This window comes from Homo sapiens, chromosome 3 (assembly GCF_000001405.40).
Source record: "Homo sapiens chromosome 3, GRCh38.p14 Primary Assembly".
In the NCBI taxonomy this organism is placed as follows: Eukaryota; Metazoa; Chordata; class Mammalia; order Primates; family Hominidae; genus Homo; species Homo sapiens.
Genome location: NC_000003.12, coordinates 195,274,233 through 195,294,894, shown reverse-complemented (window position 1 = coordinate 195,294,894; position 20,662 = coordinate 195,274,233). Strand labels below are relative to the sequence as shown.

Below are 20,662 nucleotides of genomic sequence, written 5' to 3'. Positions count from 1 at the left end.
GCTCATTTTAAAACCTTGTTTGTGGGAGATTGTTTTCTAAATGGCATGAACTTTAATCATTAGTTAATTTTTCTTTAAAACAGTCAGAAGTAATGACAGTGGAATTCAGCAGAGCTCTGATGATGGAAGAGAATCTTTACCCTCCACGGTGTCAGCCAATAGTTTATATGAGCCTGGTGAGTTCTGATGAAACTCAATGTTAATTGGTTTTGTTTGCTGGAAAGTGCATGTGGTAAATGTTTACCTTTGATTAAAAAAAAAATTATATATATATATATATATATAATTTTTTTTTTTTTTTTCTTCTTTTTTTTTTGAGATGGAGTTTCACTCTTACTGCCCAGGCTGGAGTGCAGCGGTACGATCTTGGCTCACTGCAACCTCCGCCTTCCAGTTTCAAGTGATTCTCCTGCCTCAGCCTCCCGAGTAGCTGGGATTACAGGCGCCCACCACCACGCCCAGCTAATTTTTGTGTTTTTAGTAGGGACGAGGTTTCACCACATTGGCCAGGCTGGTCTCGAACTCCTGACCTTGTGATCCACCAACCTCGGCCTCCCAAAGTGCTGGGATTTGAGCCACCGTGCCCGGCCCTACTCTTGATTAAATATTTTAAAGGAAGGGGTTAGTCTTTTAGAAGGTAACTAGGGGAGGAGTAATACTCTTAAATGAGAAAGCAGCGATTTCTTCATATTTGGAAATTCTGTCCTAGCTATATATTGTTTATACTTTTTAAAATTTTTATTTATTTATTTTTTTGAGATGGAGTCTTGCTCTGTCACCCAGGATGGAGTACAGTGGTGCGATCTTCGCTTACTGCAAGCCCCACCTCCCGGGTTCATGCCATTCCCCTGCCTCAGCCTCCCGAGTAGCTGGGACTACAGATGCCCACCACCATGCCTGGCTAATTTTTTTTTTTTGTATTTTTAGTAGAGGTGGGGTTTCACCATGTTAGCCAGGATGGTCTCAATCTCCTGACCTCGTGATCCACCCGCCTCGGCCTCCCAAAGTGCTGGGATTGCAGGCGCGAGCCACCGAGGCTGCCCTACATTTTATTTTTTATTTTGAGTCTCGCTCTGTTGTCCTGGCTGGAGTGCAATGGCATGATCTTGGCTCACTGCAGCCTCTACCTTCTGTTCACGCAGTTCTCCTACTCAGCCTCCCAAGTAGCTGGGTTACAGGTGTGTGCCACCATGCCCAGCTAATTTTTGTATTTTTAGTAGAGATGGGGTTTCACCATGTTGGCCAGGCTGGTCTTGAACTCCTGACTTCAAGTGATCCACCTCTCTCAGCCTCCGAAAGTGCTGGGATTATAGGCGTCAGCCAGCACACCTGATGCTTAGTTGTACATTCTTCCAAGCCTAATGGTATGTGCTAAAAGTGCCTTACCAATTGCCAAGGATAATTTTTAATCCACATGAACTGTCTTATTATCGTTTATCTTTCCTTGTGGCTGTCCTATCAGGAGAAAGAGATCAGCAACTCCCTCCCCATTAGATTTTTCTTTTGACTTGTGCTTTAAACCCTTGTCCCCTCCTCCATGATTTCAGTGATTTTGGTCCTGCAGAGTACTCAGGGGAGTCAGCACTCTTCAAATTATTTGAAGTGCTTGTAGTGCCAATTGGGATGGTATTGGACCATCCTAGGAATGAAGTGAGGTTTGGTCTAGTAGTAAAAGTTTTTATGGATTCTTGCTGCTTCTTAAGTCCCAACATTTAGGAATATACTCAATTTTAATGTAGTACAGAGTAATTAACCTATCCCTTGGATACTGGCAAGAACAGAAAGGCCTGGCATATCAGTGATTGTCTTTATAGAAGAAGAAGGTTGAATGTTGGGGAATAGCTATGTGAAAATCTCCCATAAGCTCATTATGATAGATTAATGGTTTCTTATGTCATAGCTTTATTTTTTAAAAATTGCAATAAAATGCACATAAAATTTATCATCTTAACTTTTTTTTTTTTTTTTTTTTTGAGACTGAGTCTCGCTCTATTGCTCAGGCTGGAGTGCAGTGGTGCAATCTCAGCTCACTGCAACCTCTGCCTCCCGGGTTCAAGTGATTCTCGTCCCTCAGTCTCCCAGGTAGATGGGATTACAGGTGCCCGCTACCATGCCTGGTTAATTTTTGTATTTTTAGTAAAGACGAGGTTTCACCATGTTGGCCAGGCTAGTTTCAAACTCCTGACCTCAAGTGATCCACCCCCCTCGGCCTCCCAAAGTGCTGGGATTGCAGGCGTGAGCCACCGTGCCTGGCCCATCTTAACCATTTTTAAGTGTACAGTTTAGTGGCATTAAGTATATTCCCATTAGTGTGCTATCTTTACTGCCATTCATCCACAGAACTCTTTTTATCTTGCAAAACTGAAACTCTACCTATTAAATAATTTTTTCTTTTTCTGCCAAGAGCTCATTTTTATTGATGTGTATGTGTTTGCTTTTCAGAAGGAGAAAGGCAAGATTCTTCTATGTTTCTTGACTCGAAACATCTTAATCCAGGACTTCAGCTTTATAGGGCGTCATATGAAAAAAACCTTCCTAAAATGGCTGAGGCTTTGGCTCATGGTGCAGACGTGAACTGGGCCAATTCAGAGGAAAACAAAGCGACACCACTTATTCAGGCTGTATTAGGGGTATGCGTTTATACAATGACATTTTCAGTAGCAATCAAATATTTAAAAAAAATCATAATATGTTCTGAACTGGCTTTAGTATTGTCTTTGCTTCAAGAGATGGGTTAGAAAATAGAAGGAACCTCTGTGCTATTAATAGTAGTGGTTTCTGAGCACCACTTCGGTTGTTTCAAGTTTTTTTGCAGTGGAAGAGAATTCCGATAATGAAAGTATATAATGTGTTTTGCTAGTTCACAAACTGCAAATGAATCTCTATTAGAATTAGTTCTTGGGAAGAAAATAATATAATTTATAATTTCTCTGCCTTGGCTGAGGGATATTTTTTGTTTTGGAGAGAAGGAAATGGAAATGCTATTTGAGTAACGAAAACCAATTGTTTTTAAAAAGAAATGTATTGTTGTTTCTTGTTATTTGCTTTTGTCTATAGTTATCCTCTTTTTTCCTTTAAGGGCTCTTTGGTGACGTGTGAGTTCCTCCTACAGAATGGTGCTAATGTCAACCAAAGAGATGTCCAAGGGCGGGGACCATTGCACCATGCCACCGTCTTAGGGCACACAGGGTAACTGCAGTGCTTTCATATTTAAGGAGACTTTATTTGAAAAATTATTTTGAATTAATGTTTTAGTTTTTCTTAGGTTAAAGTTTTCAGGTAGTGTTTGTAAAGAGATGTGTTCCATGACTTATTTTGTCACGATGGAATTTGAAAGTTAAAAAAAATCTCTTTCAGAAAAAGCTACTATTGGTTTTCAGATACAAAAATTTCAAGGCTTACTTTGACCTTAACTTGTCATTAAATAGATCAGTTTTAGTACTTAACTTTCTCTGTTATTAAAATTGTGATTTTGTCAGACAACTTAAGCCTGTGTTTGTGTTTATGTATGTATGTACATATACATTATTTCCATAGCATGCACACACATAACCTATTTAAAGATAATTTGATGACTTTGTAATTTTTAGTTTTTTCCACAGGGTAGCTAAAGTCAAATTCTAAACTAAATTCTTACTTTGGGTTGTTGACATTGTGTCTTCTGGAGCGATAGTAAGATTCACAGAACAATAAAGCCTTGAAAATGGACTTTCTATTATTAGGAAGTATACATGAAAGAAAATGCTGGCTTTATGTGAAAAATTTGTGTCTTAAACGCTTGTTTCTTAATAAGATATCTCAGGGTATCCGATTATTATGTGGTGGATAAGCAAGAAGCTCTTATTTTGAAATATTTTTAAAATAGCATCTTCATTTATTTAGAGACAGGGTCTCGCCCTGTTGCCTAGGCAGGAGTGCACTGGTGCAATCATAGCTCACTACAGCCTTGAACTCCTAGGCTCAAGCGATCCTCCCCTAGTAGCTTGGGTTATAGGTGTGAGCCACTGTGTCTGGCTATTTTTATTTATTTATTTATTTATTTATTATTTATTTATTTATTTATTTATTTATTTATTTATTTTGAGATAAAGTCTTGCTCTGTCACCCAGGCTGGAGTGCAGTAGCACGATCTCAGCTCACTGCAACCTCCGCCTCCTGGGTTCAAGCGATTCTCCTGCCTTAGCCCCCTGAGTAGCTGGGATTGTAGGTGTGCACCACCATGCCTGGCTAATTTTTTTGTATTTTTAGTAGAGACGAGGTTTCATCATGTTGGCCAGGCTGGTCTTGAACTCCTGACCTCAGGTGATCCACCTGCCTCAGCCTCCCAAAATGCTGGGATTACAGGTATGAGCCACTGCGCACGGCCATGTCTGGCTATTTTTATCATGGCTTGTTTTCTTCTATCAGCAAAGAGATTCAGTCAGATAACTTCATCGTTTAAACTTTCTACACTTAAAAAAGGTAGTATTTAAGGTAGTACTTAACTCATCCTTTGTATTTTCTTCTTTTTTTTTAAGAGATGGGAGTCTCACTATGTTGCTCACGTTGGAGTGTGGTGACTGTTCATAGGCACATTCATAGCTCACTACAGCCTTGAATTCTGGGGCTCAGGATCTTCATGCCTCAGCTTCCCAAGTGGCTGGGACTACAGGCATGCCCTGCCACTCCCGGCTAATTTTTAAATTTTTTTTAGAGACATTTTGCTATGTTGCTCAGGCTGGTCTTGAACTTCTGACCTCAAGTGATTCCCCCTACCTCTGCCTTCTGAGTAGCTGAGATTACAGGTGCTTACCTTGCCCAGCCATTATTTTCTTCTTAAACTATCAAAATTCTTTCCATTTTATTTCATAGACTCCATTTAGTTATTCTTTCATATTTTAGATTTCTTTTTCAGTTTATTCAAGTAATGAATATTTGCAAGTACAGCAAGCAGATTACTTCCCATTCTTTGCTGTTGTATTATTATTATGAAGTTTACATTGCCTTGGCTTTCTTCATTTTCAAATAATGACCTTGAGTGATCTTTTTTTCATTTAGGTTTATAGATACCTGTGCACATGTTTTTATGATATTCTTTTTTTTTTTTTTTTTGAGACGGAGTCTTGCTCTCGCCCAGGCTGGAGTGCAGTGGTGTGATCTCGGCTCACTGCAAGCTCCGCCTCCCGGGTTCACGCCATTCTCCTGCCTCAGCCTCCTGTGTAGCTGGGACTACAGGCGTCCGCCACCACACCCGGCTATGTTTTTTTTTTTTTAATTTTAGTAGAGACGGGGTTTCACCTTGTTAGCCAGGATGGTCTCGATCTCCTGACTTTGTGATCCGCACACCTTGGCCTCCCAAAGTGCTGGGATTACAGGCGTGAGCCACCACGTCTGGCCTTTTTATGATATTCTTTGAGGGTAGGGACCACAACTTATATATCCACCATGCTATCTATATAGCACCAGATTAAATAAGATAATGTATGCAAAAATACCTTGAGACTTGTGAAATGTTGATCTTGGTAAGTTTTTGTTAGTAGAGTTAGTGTTCAGTTAATATTTGTAGAATGAATCAAGAATTTCCTAATGAAAATGTTACTTAAGTAGTACTTTTTTTTTTTAAGGTGAATACTAATTTTTTTTTCTTATCGACAATATCTCAAAAATGCTGTGTTCTTAAACAGGCAGGTATGTTTATTCCTAAAACGAGGTGCCAATCAACATGCCACTGATGAAGAAGGGAAAGACCCTTTGAGCATAGCTGTGGAAGCAGCCAATGCTGATATAGTCACCTTGTAAGTACTTCCTTTTTACTTGACTATTTCCATACAGTGAATTACAGTTGTCCCTCGGTTATCCACAGTGAATTAGTTCCAGGACCCTGTGGATACCAACATCCACATATGCTCATGTCCCTTATATAAAATGGTATGTATTTACATATAACTTACATACCTCCTCCCATGTACTTTAAATCATCTCTACTTATTATACTTAATACAATGGAAATGCTATCTATGTAGTTGTTATACTATAGTGTTTTGTATTTATATTTATGTATCTATTTTTGAGACCGACTCTCACTCTGTTGCCCAGAGTGGAGTGCACCGGCTCCCTGCAACCTCCACCTCCCAGATTCAAGCCATTCTCCTGCCTCAGCCTCCCTAGTCGCTGGGATTACAGGCGTGATCCACCACAACCTGCTAATTTTTGTATTTTTAGTAGAGATGGGGTTTCACCATGTTGGCCAGGCTGGTCTCGAACTCCTGACCTCAGGTGATCCACCCGCCTCGGCCTCCCAAAGTGCTGGGATTACAGGTGTGAGCCACCGCGCCTGGCCGATTATTTGTATTTTAAAATTGTTGTATGGTTGTTTTTTATTGCCTTTTTTCCCCTGAATATTTTCCACTGGTGATTGGTTGAACCCACAGAGAAGGACAGCGGCCAACTGTACTTGCACACAGTGCTAACAGAGCATTGTGCATTGTGTGAACTTCGAAGTTGGTTGGTATTTACTTTGTGCCATGTACTTCTCTAAGCACATTAAATGTATTAAACACTTTACATGCATGAACTTATTTGGTTCTCACAACAACTCTGAGGAAGATATTGTTAATATTGTCTTCATTTTATAGAAAAAGAAGCCAAGCCATAGATAATTTGAGATTTTAGTAAGTGATGGAGTTGGGATTTGAAACCAAGAATTGTGGCCCTAAAGCCCATGCTCCCCATGTTCTTAGCCATTTATGCTATACTGCCTGATACAGAAACAGAAAACCAGTGACTTCTTCAAAATGGTTTCTTTTTTTTTTTTTTGAGACAGAGTTTTGCTCTTGTTGCCCAGGCTGGAGTGCAATGGCACGATCTCAGCTCAGCAACCTCTGCCTCCCGGGTTCAAGCGATTCTCCCTCCTCAGCCTCCTGAGTAGCTGGGATTACACACATGCGCCACCACGCCTGGCTAATTTTGTATTTTTAGTAGATGAGGTTTCTCCATGTTGGTCAGGCTGGTCTTAAACTCCTGACCTCAGGTGATCCACCTGCCTCAGCCTCCCAAAGTGCTAGGATTACAGGCGTGAGTCACCGTGCCCGGCTAAAATGGTTTCTTTATCTCTTTGTATAGTACTAGGGCAGAGGCTGGGATTGTTAGACTAACAGATAATTATTCTACTACCTCGAGAATTAGAGGATTCTCTAATTCTGTAGGCAGGATAGTTGCATTGATATTAGTAATTTGTGAAGTTCCATTACCTTTGGGCAGTGGTAGGAATTTGTGCTTGTTTTTAAAAAGAATTATTCACATAAAGCTAGGTGCTCCCACCCATAATCCAAGCTACTCAGGAGATTGAGGTGGGAGCGTTGCTTGAGCCCAGAAGCTGGAGAAAAGCCTGGGCAACATAGCGAGGCCCTGTCTCTACAAAAAATTAAAAATTAGCCGGGTGTGGTGGCACATGCGTGTAGTCGTAGCTACTTGGGAGGATGAATGAGACCCTGTCTCAAAAAAAAAAAAAATTATTTACGTGAATACTTGATTAATTTTAAGATTAAAATGCATGCTTCTGAATGTTTGAATAAAATGTAATGTGATCTTTTAAATAATTTTGAGGTCTTAATTTGATTTACATCTCAGATCAAAGTAGTTTATTACACATGGAATTCAGAAAATTAATCGTCACCGATACCTTATTATGTAGGAAATCTCAAGCATGTTTTGTATCGTCACTTATTCTTTATCACTTATTCACTTACCCTGGGCTAAATGAAGCCCATAATTGCTTATCCCCCCTCATTGGAGAAGAAATAGGTCCATCCACACTCCTGAGCTCCTACTGAGAATTCTTGACTTGTCATATGTCACCCCTCTGCCAAATAAAATAACAAAACAGCAAAACATACTTTCTCAGATCCTTTCCCCACAGGAGGGGTTACTGTTATTATGGAGGCTATTGCAGGAAAATGTAGAACTCTTAAATCATTACAGATTTACAGTAGAAGAAAGATAAGTTATTAAAGAAAAGATAGGAATGATATAGAGAGACAAGCTCTGCAGGCAGCTTCCCAGGCAATACCTATATAGCAGTGGACCCTTCCCTTAAAAATAATCTGTTTTCAAATCGTCTAAATTTTCTTGTTTTACTTTGTGTGAGTGCTTCAGTTTCACTTAAGAATTTTTGTAAGCATCCTCTGTGAAAACCCAAATGCCAAAGGAAGATTTGTGGAACTGTTGTTAATACACACAGTGGTTGAGAGAGAAGATAAAGGGAATTGTGGAACTTTGAAGATAGGAAAAGTTCATGTCACACGCTGCAGTTGCCAGAGAGAACATTTCAGAAGAGGGTGATGGAGGTCTGAGAAGGCAGTGGAAATTTGGTGGCCCAGAAGGACGGACGAGAGGTACAGAGTAGGAGAGGGGTACCAAACACAATATTTGCCTATTTTAAAATGTTGCTTAAAGGAAATACTTAGCTTCTTAATCTAGTGCTACATGTCATCTGCTGCCAAGATGAGTAACCTAAAAAGAATGTATAAGCAATATGGTAATGTTAGGAAATTCTTGGTAACCTATAGTCATTTATTATAATGTTTGTATATCAAAATATATTCCCAGTGTTTAGAGGCCACACATGCTGTTTATATGTCTGCAGCTACCTCACTTCAGGGTGAGCCAGAGTGAACTTATGACAGGTTCTCACTTCTGCACTATAGAAGCAATAATTTCAACAGTTGGCAGTTAAAATTTGACAGGTTGCTGTAAGAGCCAGGAATTGTCAGGCATCTGGAGGAAGCAAGCCACTAGAGGTATTGCGGGGATGCTGCTGCAGTACAGCTAAAATGCAGTCGTCAGAAGATTTTTGTTGTCCTTTCTTATGAGAATTGTATGAAGGTGAGATACTTATCTTTGTACCTCAGATTGCTGGGTTTGATAAACTAAAAGCCAGATTATTTTAATGGCAAATAAAACACAATTACATTAGTACATGTATTACCTGTTTATAGACTTTATTTATGACATTTATATTATATAATGTCATCTAAAACACTATTTTATTTATTTTTAGGTTACGTTTAGCAAGAATGAATGAAGAGATGCGGGAATCAGAAGGACTTTATGGACAGCCAGGTCAATATTCTACTAATAACCATACTGAAATGCAGTATAAGAAATGCATTCAGGAATTTATCAGTTTACAACTGGAAGATTCATAGTTCTTTAGCAAACTAATGTGATACTATAGAGTTTTTATAACCCACTTGTAAATTGTGAGTTGTTAGCTTTGTACTGTACTTAACTGAATCCTTGGGTGGCTAATCCCGGGCCTTTAAACATTCGTAACTCTTCCTATGACAGTACACATTGACTTGCTCTATTTCACTCTGGCTGCTGACTTCTTTATTTGCTGTACGGATGTCTTCCATATACATTCCAGTGAAATGAATGGAATGGTAAAAATATTCTTCATATACTTACAGCAGCAAAATAGTTGTTTTCTTTTTGGAATTCTTTTTAGCTGTCAAGTGAATATAACAAAATTGTTTTCTTTTTGTTATTCAGGGAATTTCTATAAATTACGTTCAGGGAAAAAAAAAATCACCATGTGTCTGGCATATAAAAAGCCAGTATGGAAAATACCAAGAAAAAGTTTACTGATGAGTTTTGTACTACAATCTAAAAATGAGTTGAAGATTTAAAATGAAAATTCACCAGGTGGAGAAGTCCATGATGTGAGTGGAGCTAGTTTGAAAGGCTGAGGGCAAAGGTCTCATTTTATCTAAAGCTAAAGCTTTGCCTCCAGGCAGTTGTACATTATCTCTTAGATAAGCGGAAGTATTTAGAACAATACTTTTTGCACCTGATGGCAAAGTAGATTTATTCTACTTGAGAAATTTCAATTCATGATCACCTCAAGTTTCATTTTGAGTAATTTTCACCTTTGAATCAAGATGTCAAGGAAGAAGTATCAGATTCTTCTCTTTGAAGAACACGTTGATTAGACGTTCTTCACAAAGAAGAGAGTAATTATTGGTTTTCTTGTTTCATGAATTTGAGTATATGAATTACTCATCTGTCTGTTTTAAATTTATATACACATTAGTAAAAAATTTCATGAATTCGTGACTAAAATACTTGAGAATATTCAGTTTGCAATGAGTAGGTTTGGTTTTTTAAAAATGAATATTGATACATTATTTTTAAAGTGACCTGGTAATATCATCTCTTCTTCCTGTTTAAATACATTTTGAAATTTCTGTACTTCAGCCATTTATTTTAACGAGATTAATATATAGTTAATGTGAGGCCGTTCTTTCCTCAGAGGACCGTATTTACTACTGCTTATTTTTGGCCTAATTTAATGTGGAACAAGTAAGAACGTTAAGAATAGAGGCACTTCAGCTAGATATTTCTAATCTAGGGTGTCCCACTTGAATCCTATGGATCATACAATAGTAGGCGGCTCATGATGTTCCGAGATGGAAGAGTGCTGATGAAGGGTGAAGCTCTAGCGTTCATTCTGGATTTCACCCATTTGTTTCAAACTTGAATGTTAGATTTTAAATAGGTTATAATTTTATAACAGATATTCTTAACTGATAGTATTACTAGGCCGTTTTTGAGGCCTTTGTGTTTAAGCACTTTAAAATAAAAATTGTTTAAAGAATATGACCTGATATTTGTAAGAGAAGAGTGAACCTCACGATTTTAAGTTAAACAATTATTTTCCCCCTGACATTTTTAACTTCAGTGTTTGGTTAGCTGCTCTTTCCTTACGGTGTCTGCTGATGAAGTTCACCCAGCTGATTAGCCAGGTGGTCAGTGGTCGACTCTTCTCTGGAGTTGGGAAGCTTGAAAGGAAAGGGCCTCTAAGTTCTTGCCACTTCTAGTTCCACCCAAATTGTTTGGGTGTCTGCCACCATCATTTAGGAGCATTCAAATGTCTTCCACTGTCATTTTTGAGTTTATATATACATAAACTTAAAATGTATAGAAAAGATTTTACCAATTTAATTTAATGAAAACTTGAAAAAAAAAGCCTCATTTTAAAACAAGCTCTCTTACCATTCTCACATTTTAGTTTAGAGGTTAAAAAATAGACCAGAATTCTGGAAATAGTATATCAGAATAAAATTGAGATATTTCTGATTTATTTGAGGATCATCTTGAGAAGGGTTAGATTTTTAACTCATTCAGAGGGCCTAATATTTAAAGCAGGATGATTTTATGCTTAGACAGGGGACATGGTGAAATGGCATAGCAATTGCTCTTCGGTTTCTGTTCTTTTTCTTTATGAGACAGGTATGTTTGGCTCAGGCAGCGGCTGTTTGTTTTTCCTCTGCTTATCACTGTACATTTTTCTATCAAATGCTTTGGTTGCTTGTTTTATTGAGATCCTTTTTTGGTTTTCTTAGCAATAGAATGAAAACCTCAGAACTCTGGGTAAATTAAATGCAGGTATTTTTAATCTTTTGATAATGAAGAGCTCTTATCCTTTAAAAGATTCAGATGTAATCTTTGGCAATCACTGATTTATTTCTAGGAAACCCCACTTGTGAACTTTCTATCTGTACAACCCTAGGGACCTGGGACTCCCTGTTTCTTGCGTGGGGTGATTGAGAGCACACGTTTTCTTCAAAAGAAGGTGTGTCTCTCTTTGGCAGTCCCAGTAGCCCTTAGGAGACATGGGTGGGTGAGGGAAACAGCACACTCTTCTCTCAGTTGTTGGAAACCGGTTTGGTGGTTCCCACAGTCTCTGGCTCTGTGACTCTTCTTGATCGTTGGCAGGCTCTCAGCCAGTTGAGAATCATCACTGCTTTAGGGACCCGCTACTGGTTATGTGAGTATGTAGCAAGCACAAGTTGGGAATCGCTGATCTAAGTAATTATGAAAGTAAGCTGTTACCCACCCAGAAGGGGTAAGGTCGTGCATAGGATGACCTGGGGTGGGTCTCATGTGCTGCCGTCCCTGTGAGGTGAGGGGAGTACATTTCAAGAGCAAAATTAGCAAACTCTTGAATCATCATAACTGCTGTTGTGGTAGATATTCTGAATACCAAAAATTAAAAGTGAATTTAAACTGTCAGTGGAAACACAGCAGTCTGCATTTTAAAAACTTAGAGCTGTCCAGGCACATAGAAAAGTTAACTGTCTGAGGGGAAATAGAATGTGGTTAAGTTTAAAGAATATGCTTAGTATTATAAATGTTGAGTGATGAGTTGTTTACCATTTATAATAAACTGTTAAATGTATTTCTGGGAACATTCCATGGCAGCATATTCTGGGTTGTTGTTTATGTGTTCCAATGTAGACAAATTATATTTGCCTTGGGAAAAATTCTAAGTAATCAAAATTATATTTAAATATTAAAAAATCACATTGAAGTTCAATTTGTGTTAGCTGTATTAAATATCTTGGTCACTATTGTTCTTGTAACATTTGCTTTTGACAACACATTTTGAGATCTAAGAAAGGTAGTACATTAACAGTGCATTAATTAATGTTTTGTTAGAAACTAAATGTTAACAAAAAGTTTTGTGTGTATGTGAAGGTGGCAACTTCCTTTTGTATTATATTAACACTTTTTAAATGTATTCAGTCAGTGAAACCAATGATTATTATAGCACCAACACTTTCATTCAAGGAAGCATTTGAGTCTTATAATTTGTTTTGCATGGTACAATGGTTCTACTAAAATATACTTGTGTAATAGGTACTAGATGATTTAAAAACAAAACCGGAGAAACCATTTAAAAAGTTCCATAGCTTGTTATACAAAATATGCATTGCTAATAGTAGAAGCCATATATTGCCATTGTACTGTTGTAATACTTAACAGTGCTCATCTGGTGCTACCTGTAGACTATTTGGTATTAACGTCTGCTAGACCCTTCTTCCTATTTCTTCTTGAATGTATAATGTGTGCCTTTTAAGTTACTTCTAGTGTTGAATGGTAAAATCTTTGTGGTATTTTTGTATTATACTCTGCACTTTACACTTTCTTGGAAAGGAAAATTCCAGACTATCCAGTTTAAATAGTCTTTTAAAAATATTTATAATGTTTACAATAAATATTTTACATATTTTAATTCAACATCTGCAAATTAGAAAAAATATTTTATATGGTTTGTTGCTATTTAATGTTGCTCTATTTATTTTCTATCTTTTAGAATGGTTAAAATGAGAATAGCAATGTTTGTCTTTTGATGTGGAAGTGAACTTTTACAAAACCATGGGTATAATTGGATTGTCTTACCAGCTGTTCCAACGTATCAACCTTTTATTTTAGTCATGTCAATATGAGTTAGATGTTACTCTCAGCCACCTGTTAATAATCTCTTCTTACTGTTTTTTTCTTTTTAAAGTAGACTGATGAGGTTTAATTGATTGATTCAGGTCGGGAATAAATTTCCAGGGCTAAATGAAAACTATATAGAGATGTTAATAGTTGCTTTTTACCTAGACTAAATACAAAAAGTGACTAGAAAGTATTAGATTTTTTTTCCTTTTTTTTCTTTTTTTGAGGCGGAGTCTCGCTCTGTTGCCCAGGCTGGAGTGCAGTGGCGCGATCTTGGCTCACTGCAAGCTCTGCCTCCCGGGTTCACACCATTCTCATGCCTTGGCCTCCCGAGTAGCTGGGACTACAGGCGCCCACCACCACGCCCGGCTAATTTTTTGTATTTTTAATAGAGACGGGGTTTCACCGTGTTAGCCAGGATGGTCTCCATCTCCTGACCTCGTGATCCGCCCGTCTCGGCCTCTCAAAGTGCTGGGATTAGAGGCGTGAGCCACCCGGCCGGGCCAAAAGTATTAACATTTTTTTAATTCAAAATCTTGGCTTATGCTGTTAGACCTTTTTACTAGATCTTTACTCCTATCCTCAACTTTTTTCTAATTCTCTAGCTTTTGGTATGACATCTCTTGCTTCAAAAATCTCACTTTTTAAAAACTGACAAAACTTACTGCACTATTAACAACATCTGTAGCAATGAGTGTGTTATAAGGTGGATGCAAGGTATCTTATAGGAGATAATTTTAAAATGTTACAATAATAATCAAAAACAGTATTTTATGGTTGAAATCTTGAGAACAGAATTATGCCAAGCATTTGTATAAGGCTAATGTTTAGCAGGAAGCATTCATGATCAACGATTTATCTTGAAAATAAGATTCCTTCGTCTGAGGGATTGATCTGTATGTGTGTGTATATTTAGTTTCTCATGACAAGAAAAATGGTATTCAGTCAGCTATAATATCAGTATCTATAATCTATTTCTCGGTAAACATATTTGTACATATACACGTTTATTTTTCTAATTTAACAGATGTCCTTGGTATTTATTTGCATTTTGTCATAGCATTCTTGCTCATATGACCTGCAGTAAAACAAAAACAAACCCAACTTTTAAATGCAAAACTGATTTTAAAGCCATTTTCTTTTTTTTATTTTTTATTGAAACAGAGTCTCGCTCTGTTGCCCAGGCTGGAGTGCAGTGGTGCGATCTCAGCTCACTGCAACCTCCACCTCCCGGGTTCAAGCGATTCTCCTGCCTCAGCCTCCCGAGTAGCTGGGATTACAGGTGCCCACCACCACGCCTGGTTACTTTTTGTATTTTTAGTAGAGACAGGGTTTCATCATGTTGGCCGGGCGGTCTCAAACTCCTGACCTCAGGTGATCTGCCCGCCTCAGCCTCCCAAAGTGCTGGGGTTACAGGCATGAGCCACCACACCTGGCCTTAAAGCCATTTTCTAGGATTTTGTTGTTAATTTTTGTAGAGATGTAGTCTCGCTATGTTGCCCAGACTGGTCTTGAACTCCTGGCCTCAACCAATTCTCCCCCCAACCCCCCCACCCAGCTTCCCAAAGTGTTGGGGTTATAGGCGTGAGGCACTGCACCCAGCTAGATTTTTATTTTATGAGTTTAGGAAGCAGTGGATTAGGTGCATTAGTTTTAATTACGCATTAAAGTTTGAGTAAAAAATTACTTTTTCAAATTGCTTTTAATTAAAAGATAGTATTATTTTTCCCTATCTGATTATCAGTTTGTCTTGATTATCAGTTTGTCTTGTTAATAACTTGCATCCATCCAAAACATTAGTATTTGGTTTTAGTCATTTCTTTTGGCCTTTATCAAGGGAAATATTTATTTAAAGAAGGTCTCATTTACTCCACCTCATTTAGAATGACTTTTCCCCCCCGTGTGTTAATAAACGTATTTCTTTACATTGCTTTAAAACACTTGCATCTTTGCTCTTTTCTAACTCTGAGCTTTCTTCTGTGGCTGCATCTGAGGTGCTTTTTTCAGGTATAGTTTTTTTTTTTCTTTCATTGCATAATTTTTCAGCATTTATTTTTAGTTGCCCCTTTTCTTCCAAAAATGCTCATCTGAACAAAATTTTAATGTAATGAATTATAAAATAGTACTAGTAATAAATATGAATGTTGTTTGATTAATACTTGTGTAAATGTTTAAAGTGTCTTTATTTTATTTCATGCAGGTGATGAAACTTATCAGGACATATTTCGTGATTTTTCCCAAATGGCATCCAATAATCCAGAGAAACTAAATCGTTTCCAGCAAGATTCACAGAAATTCTGAATTTTTTTAAAAATGGGAAAATATGAAATCTGGTGACCCCCTAATGTATACAGCTAAAAAATCACAATTTTTTTACTGCTTTAATTCTACTTAATTTTGGTAGATATTGAATGGCTTGGAAAAGAGGTACCCATTCATATATTTATAAATTAAAACATAGTTATCTAGTAGTAGGAGAGGAACCTAGTTTAGGACCTCTTTTATTAAAAAAGCCTATTTAAAGGGCTATTTCTGTAGACAGAAGTTCAGTCTAGATTTAGGCCATCTCTAGGTTACAAGATGATAGGAGGTTAGACAAAAGTGATTCTTTTGCCAATGGGTGGTGGCATTGATTTTTTTCCTCCATGCATCTTGCCCAGGATCACTCAGTCAAGCATGTCTTCATCAAGTGGAAGCCAACTGTCCTGCCTGCCTCAAGAATATGTGTTTTCTTTAGCTTCCCTGAGGCTTTTTGGTGGTTCAGAAATAGGTGTGTGTGTTGATGTGTTTTTGGTAACCTAGCTTTCATACACATAATATATGATTTATTAGAACTAGAGAATGTGTTTTCCCCGTTTGTTCATAAATGCGGTCGGTTATACTTCTTAGGTGACAGGTTATTGTCCAGTACTTTAATGTATGTATGTATAATGGCTGTACAGGTAGACCATAATTCAGTCCTTTAGATTTATTTTATGCAGCAAAAAGAAGCTCTTTTTTTTTTTTAATCACAAAAAAAAACCCCAGTTCAAAATGTGTAGTTCTTCATTGTTGGGTTGATTCCCCAAAACCTTGACAGATGTATCGATGGAATAAAAGTATGTTTTAAAGGTTACTTGAATGTCACAAAATTATGCCTTCATCAAAACTTTAAAGGAAAAATCAATTTATAAAATCATGTAGGCCATTTTTATATTTGAAATTTGTCCTTTTAAAGATAGTTTTGCTGTTGCTCCTAGTGAAAGAAAAATCTCTGTACAAAGGAGAAAAAGAACCCCACTTATTCTTAGTTAATACTAAAATATATAGCAATAAATTGCTGTTTATTTTTTCTACATCTATTTTGTGTACTTGTACACAGTGTACATTCTTTTAAATTATATCGTGTATATAGCTTTAGTATTCGGTTACATGATTCACAGACCCCTGAATTCCAAAATATTATGGATAAACATTACCATTTATATGCTACAAATTAGTCTGATTCCATCTTTGAAAATGTCTTAAAGTATAAAATAATTAATTTGCTTTTTTTTTTTTTTTTTCCCGAGATGGCGTCTTGCTGTGTCACCCAGGCTGGAGTGCAGTGGCACGATCTCAGCTCACTGCAGCCTCCTCCTCTTGGGTTCAAGCAATTCTCCTGCCTCAGCCTCCCGAGTAGCTGGGACTACAGGCACCCGCCACCATTCCGAGCTAATTTCTATATTTTTAGTAAAGACGGGTTTCACCATTTTGGCCAGGTTGGTCTCGAACTCCTGACCTCAGGTGATCAGCCTGCTTTAGCCTCCCAGAGTGCTGGGATTACAGGCGTGAGCCACCGCACCCAGCCTAATTTGCCTTTTGATTCCTTCCCATTGTTGTCAACAATTAAGTCTATTCTTCTTTTAGAAATTATATGTAAATGATATTATTGATACTCTTTCTAAATAAGAGGTTTTAAAATATATAAAAACTTTATGATCCAATTATAGATAAATTTTCTAACATTTCCCAGTCACTAGGGTTTTATAAGTTGATTAAACATCAAATCAGAATCTAGCCAAGCAGGAATTATATTGAAATAAGTTCACATTACAGAAAAGGTTCCATAATTTGGCCAAACTGCATGCATGTAATGCTTATTTAGTAATGGTCACTGTATGTTAGATAAGGATAAAAATATATTTGTGAATTACTTCTGAGGAAATGCTAACTTCCACAGCATTGTATTTAATTATAACAATAACAGGAACATTAAATCTTTATCTTTGCTGTTTCACCTCAAAGTCATAGATCATCTGGCTTTTTAGGCACCTTCACTAAAGGCAAAAATCTGATTTGTAGTTTTTATTAGCATGTACCTTGAAATTATTTGACCAAGAAGCTCAAAGAAAAGAAGTACGTTAAAGAAAAAGAAAAAACCTCACTTTTCCTTTATAGTGTCCCTTCCTGTTTTAATTCCTAAAGATCCTGACTTTTATCTGAGGAAGTCTAGGTAGTTTTCCTTTTGGATCTGGCCATTGGTGCGTGTTTCATTCAGATCACCTCTGGAATCTCTGTGGTTGTGAAGGCAATTCCTTATGAGACTCTTGCCTCCTGTGGCTTACGTGATGAATTGTTAATATGGCAGTAATTAATTAGTATCTACTTAAATTTAGTGGTCAGAAATGTATTTGAAGTGCCTTAAAGATGATCATGGTTCAGAATATCTTCAGAGAAAGCAAAATCTTTAATATTGCAGGGAGCCTAGCAATACAAGTACACATTTCTGTGGCTTGATTTCTTGAATATGCTGAGACCCAATTTGGACTACATTTGGCAGAAATGATGGAGTAAACAGCAAGGCTTTAAATTAAATTAATAGTTACAAGGTAGGTTGGCTCTTAGGTGAATTTAGCCATGTCAACTAATAGCTTTTATATGGTATGTAACAAATCTGAATTATGTTATGCTGTGAATTATTCAGTGCATTATAAGAAATCTTAGTTAATCATGCTTTTGGGCTTCATTAGTCAATGTGATTGGCCTTTTATTTTCTTTCCATAACTTATCTGCTATTATTAGTTTCTTATTCCTTATTATTAATCTGTTAGCTCATTATCATTAGCTTACTAACTTGAAAGTTAGATTAATATCAAAATAAGAATAGCAGCACTATGAAGAGTTAATAAAATGCAATTTCATGTTAGAGCTAGAATAAAAGTAATTGAGCAGTCATTTGCAAATGCTTCATTATAACATTTATGTGCTTAAGATTTCTAAGGTTTTAAAAAGTTACCTTTAATACAATCCTTAGAAACTCAGAAATTTCCTGATATTCATTAGATTATGGTGTTTGCCTAATTTATACCGGTTTTCACTGTATATTTTAATGAACTTTGATTGGTTACTTTTCCAGACATACAGATTTAATTTGGAATATGAACTTTGGTTCTTCATGAGTGCATTTTGAAAAAGAAAAAAAGTACACATTCAGAATCTGGCCAATTTAAGTTTGTATTTTAAAAATATTTTATGCATGTTAAGTATGGTCGCAGTAAATGAAATTGTGTTTAAGACTAAATTTACTACCGTTTTGAACAGACATTCCCAGATCATTCTTATATTGTCAGATAACACTTGTGTATAATATCACTTTGGATCATGGACATGAGCTGGAAAAATGATGTATTTTTGTAGATTGTATGTCCAGAATGACTTTAGAACCGCATGATACGGTGGAAGGAGCACTGGACTAGTCGTCACTACCCTTTTTGGATTCAGGGCTCCTCACAATTAAAATGAGTGTAATGAAACAAGGTGAAAATATAGAAGCATCCCTTTGTATACTGTTTTGCTACTTACAGTGTACTTGGCATTGCTTTATCTCACTGGATTCTCATGGTAGGATTTCTGAGATCTTAATCTAAGCTCCAAAGTTGTCTACTTTTTTGATCCTAGGGTGCTCCTTTTGTTTTACAGAGCAGGGTCACTTGATTTGCTAGCTGGTGGCAGAATTGGCACCATTACCCAGGTCTGACTGACCACCAGTCAGAGGCACTTTATTTGTATCATGAAATGATTTGAAATCATTGTAAAGCAGCGAAGTCTGATAATGAATGCCAGCTTTCCTTGTGCTTTGATAACAAAGACTCCAAATATTCTGGAGAACCTGGATAAAAGTTTGAAGGGCTAGATTGGGATTTGAAGACAAAATTGTAGGAAATCTTACATTTTTGCAATAACAAACATTAATGAAAGCAAAACATTATAAAAGTAATTTTAATTCACCACATACTTATCAATTTCTTGATGCTTCCAAATGACATCTACAGATATGGTTTTGTGGACATCTTTTTCTGTTTACATAAATTTATCCACTTAAAATGTGATAATGTGGAGACAAAGCAAGATTTGATTACATAAACTTTTCTCTGCATTGGTCTTTTCACTATCTTATTTGCTAACTTTTCTTATTTTTCTTCAACCTCCCCACCCTCCATTTTTTGGATATTAAACAGGGAAAGCTTGCTACATTATAAAGATTGTTGGCACCATTTATTTTACACAAAGGCTAAAGGTTAACTTTTGGAAATGATGAGCTACTTTTATATATGTGTTTACTCATGCTTTGTGATATTTCTGGATCATTCCAGTCATAAAGACTTATTACATGTACTATTTCTTGCTACCTGTGAAAAGGTATATTTTAAAGAATGTATAACCAACAGTCCATTTACTTTTTATTAGTATGTAGAGGATTTGTATCTAATTCATGAATGTAGTTTTACAGTAGTTTGTCATTGTAAATGGAGCAAAGTACATTATCTTCTAAAATGTACATTATGTAAGAATTGTAAATATACTTAAGTAATTTGTATGCCAAAAAATTACAATAAGTCAATAAAGATCTCACCTCTGGCTTAGTTCTTTCATGGTGATTTACATTTTCTTGTGAAATACACTGTGAACATATCTGTCAACAGCAGTTATTTTTAAGGTACTATTATTTTTAAGGTATTTCTTCCCAGCCCTTTCAAATCCACATTCATCCTATTTGCTGATTACTTCAATCAAGAAATCCATTTGGATCTTTTAAGTATATAATTCTCTTTGTTCACAGAGCTGTTATAGCCCCTAATTCATTGGCAAAAAGATAAAAGGTTTTTTTTGGGGGGTGGGGGGAGGGGCTTGCTCTAAGTTTTTTCCATTATGATTGACATTAATGTTCCTAATCTATGCAGCACATTCCCATTTTATCCTTTTAGTAAACAGACACACACACGTTTGTCAGTGAATTGGGACTGAAGGAATGGAAGGTTGAAAAAACCAAACTGGAAGTGTATCACCTGCATTTGCTTTAAAAAAAAAAAAGCTAATTGAAAGCAGACACATAAACTTTTCAATATAACTTGCTTTATTCAGCTTCATTTCATTT

The 20,662-nt window shown here is 36.7% G+C and overlaps 1 protein-coding gene across 13 annotated transcripts in view; it reads left to right on the top strand.

Annotated features, from left to right (window-relative positions):
• Positions 1-20,150, top strand: part of ACAP2 (ArfGAP with coiled-coil, ankyrin repeat and PH domains 2) — a 168,276-nt gene extending 148,126 nt beyond the window's left edge. For 11 of the 13 annotated variants that reach the window (NM_012287.6, XM_011512603.3, XM_006713557.4 and 8 more), the window contains 6 exons: positions 84-176; positions 2,443-2,630; positions 3,080-3,189; positions 5,664-5,774; positions 9,038-9,099; positions 15,467-20,150. In NM_012287.6, coding sequence (NP_036419.3) covers positions 84-176; positions 2,443-2,630; positions 3,080-3,189; positions 5,664-5,774; positions 9,038-9,099; positions 15,467-15,567 — 665 coding nt within the window. In that variant the 3' untranslated portion in view covers positions 15,568-20,150. Of the gene's footprint in view, positions 1-83; positions 177-2,442; positions 2,631-3,079; positions 3,190-5,663; positions 5,775-9,037; positions 15,205-15,466 lie in introns of those variants that run through there. The other 2 variants (XM_047447838.1, XM_047447834.1) reach the window with 1 other exon arrangement.
• Positions 20,151-20,662: the final 512 nt, after the last annotated feature.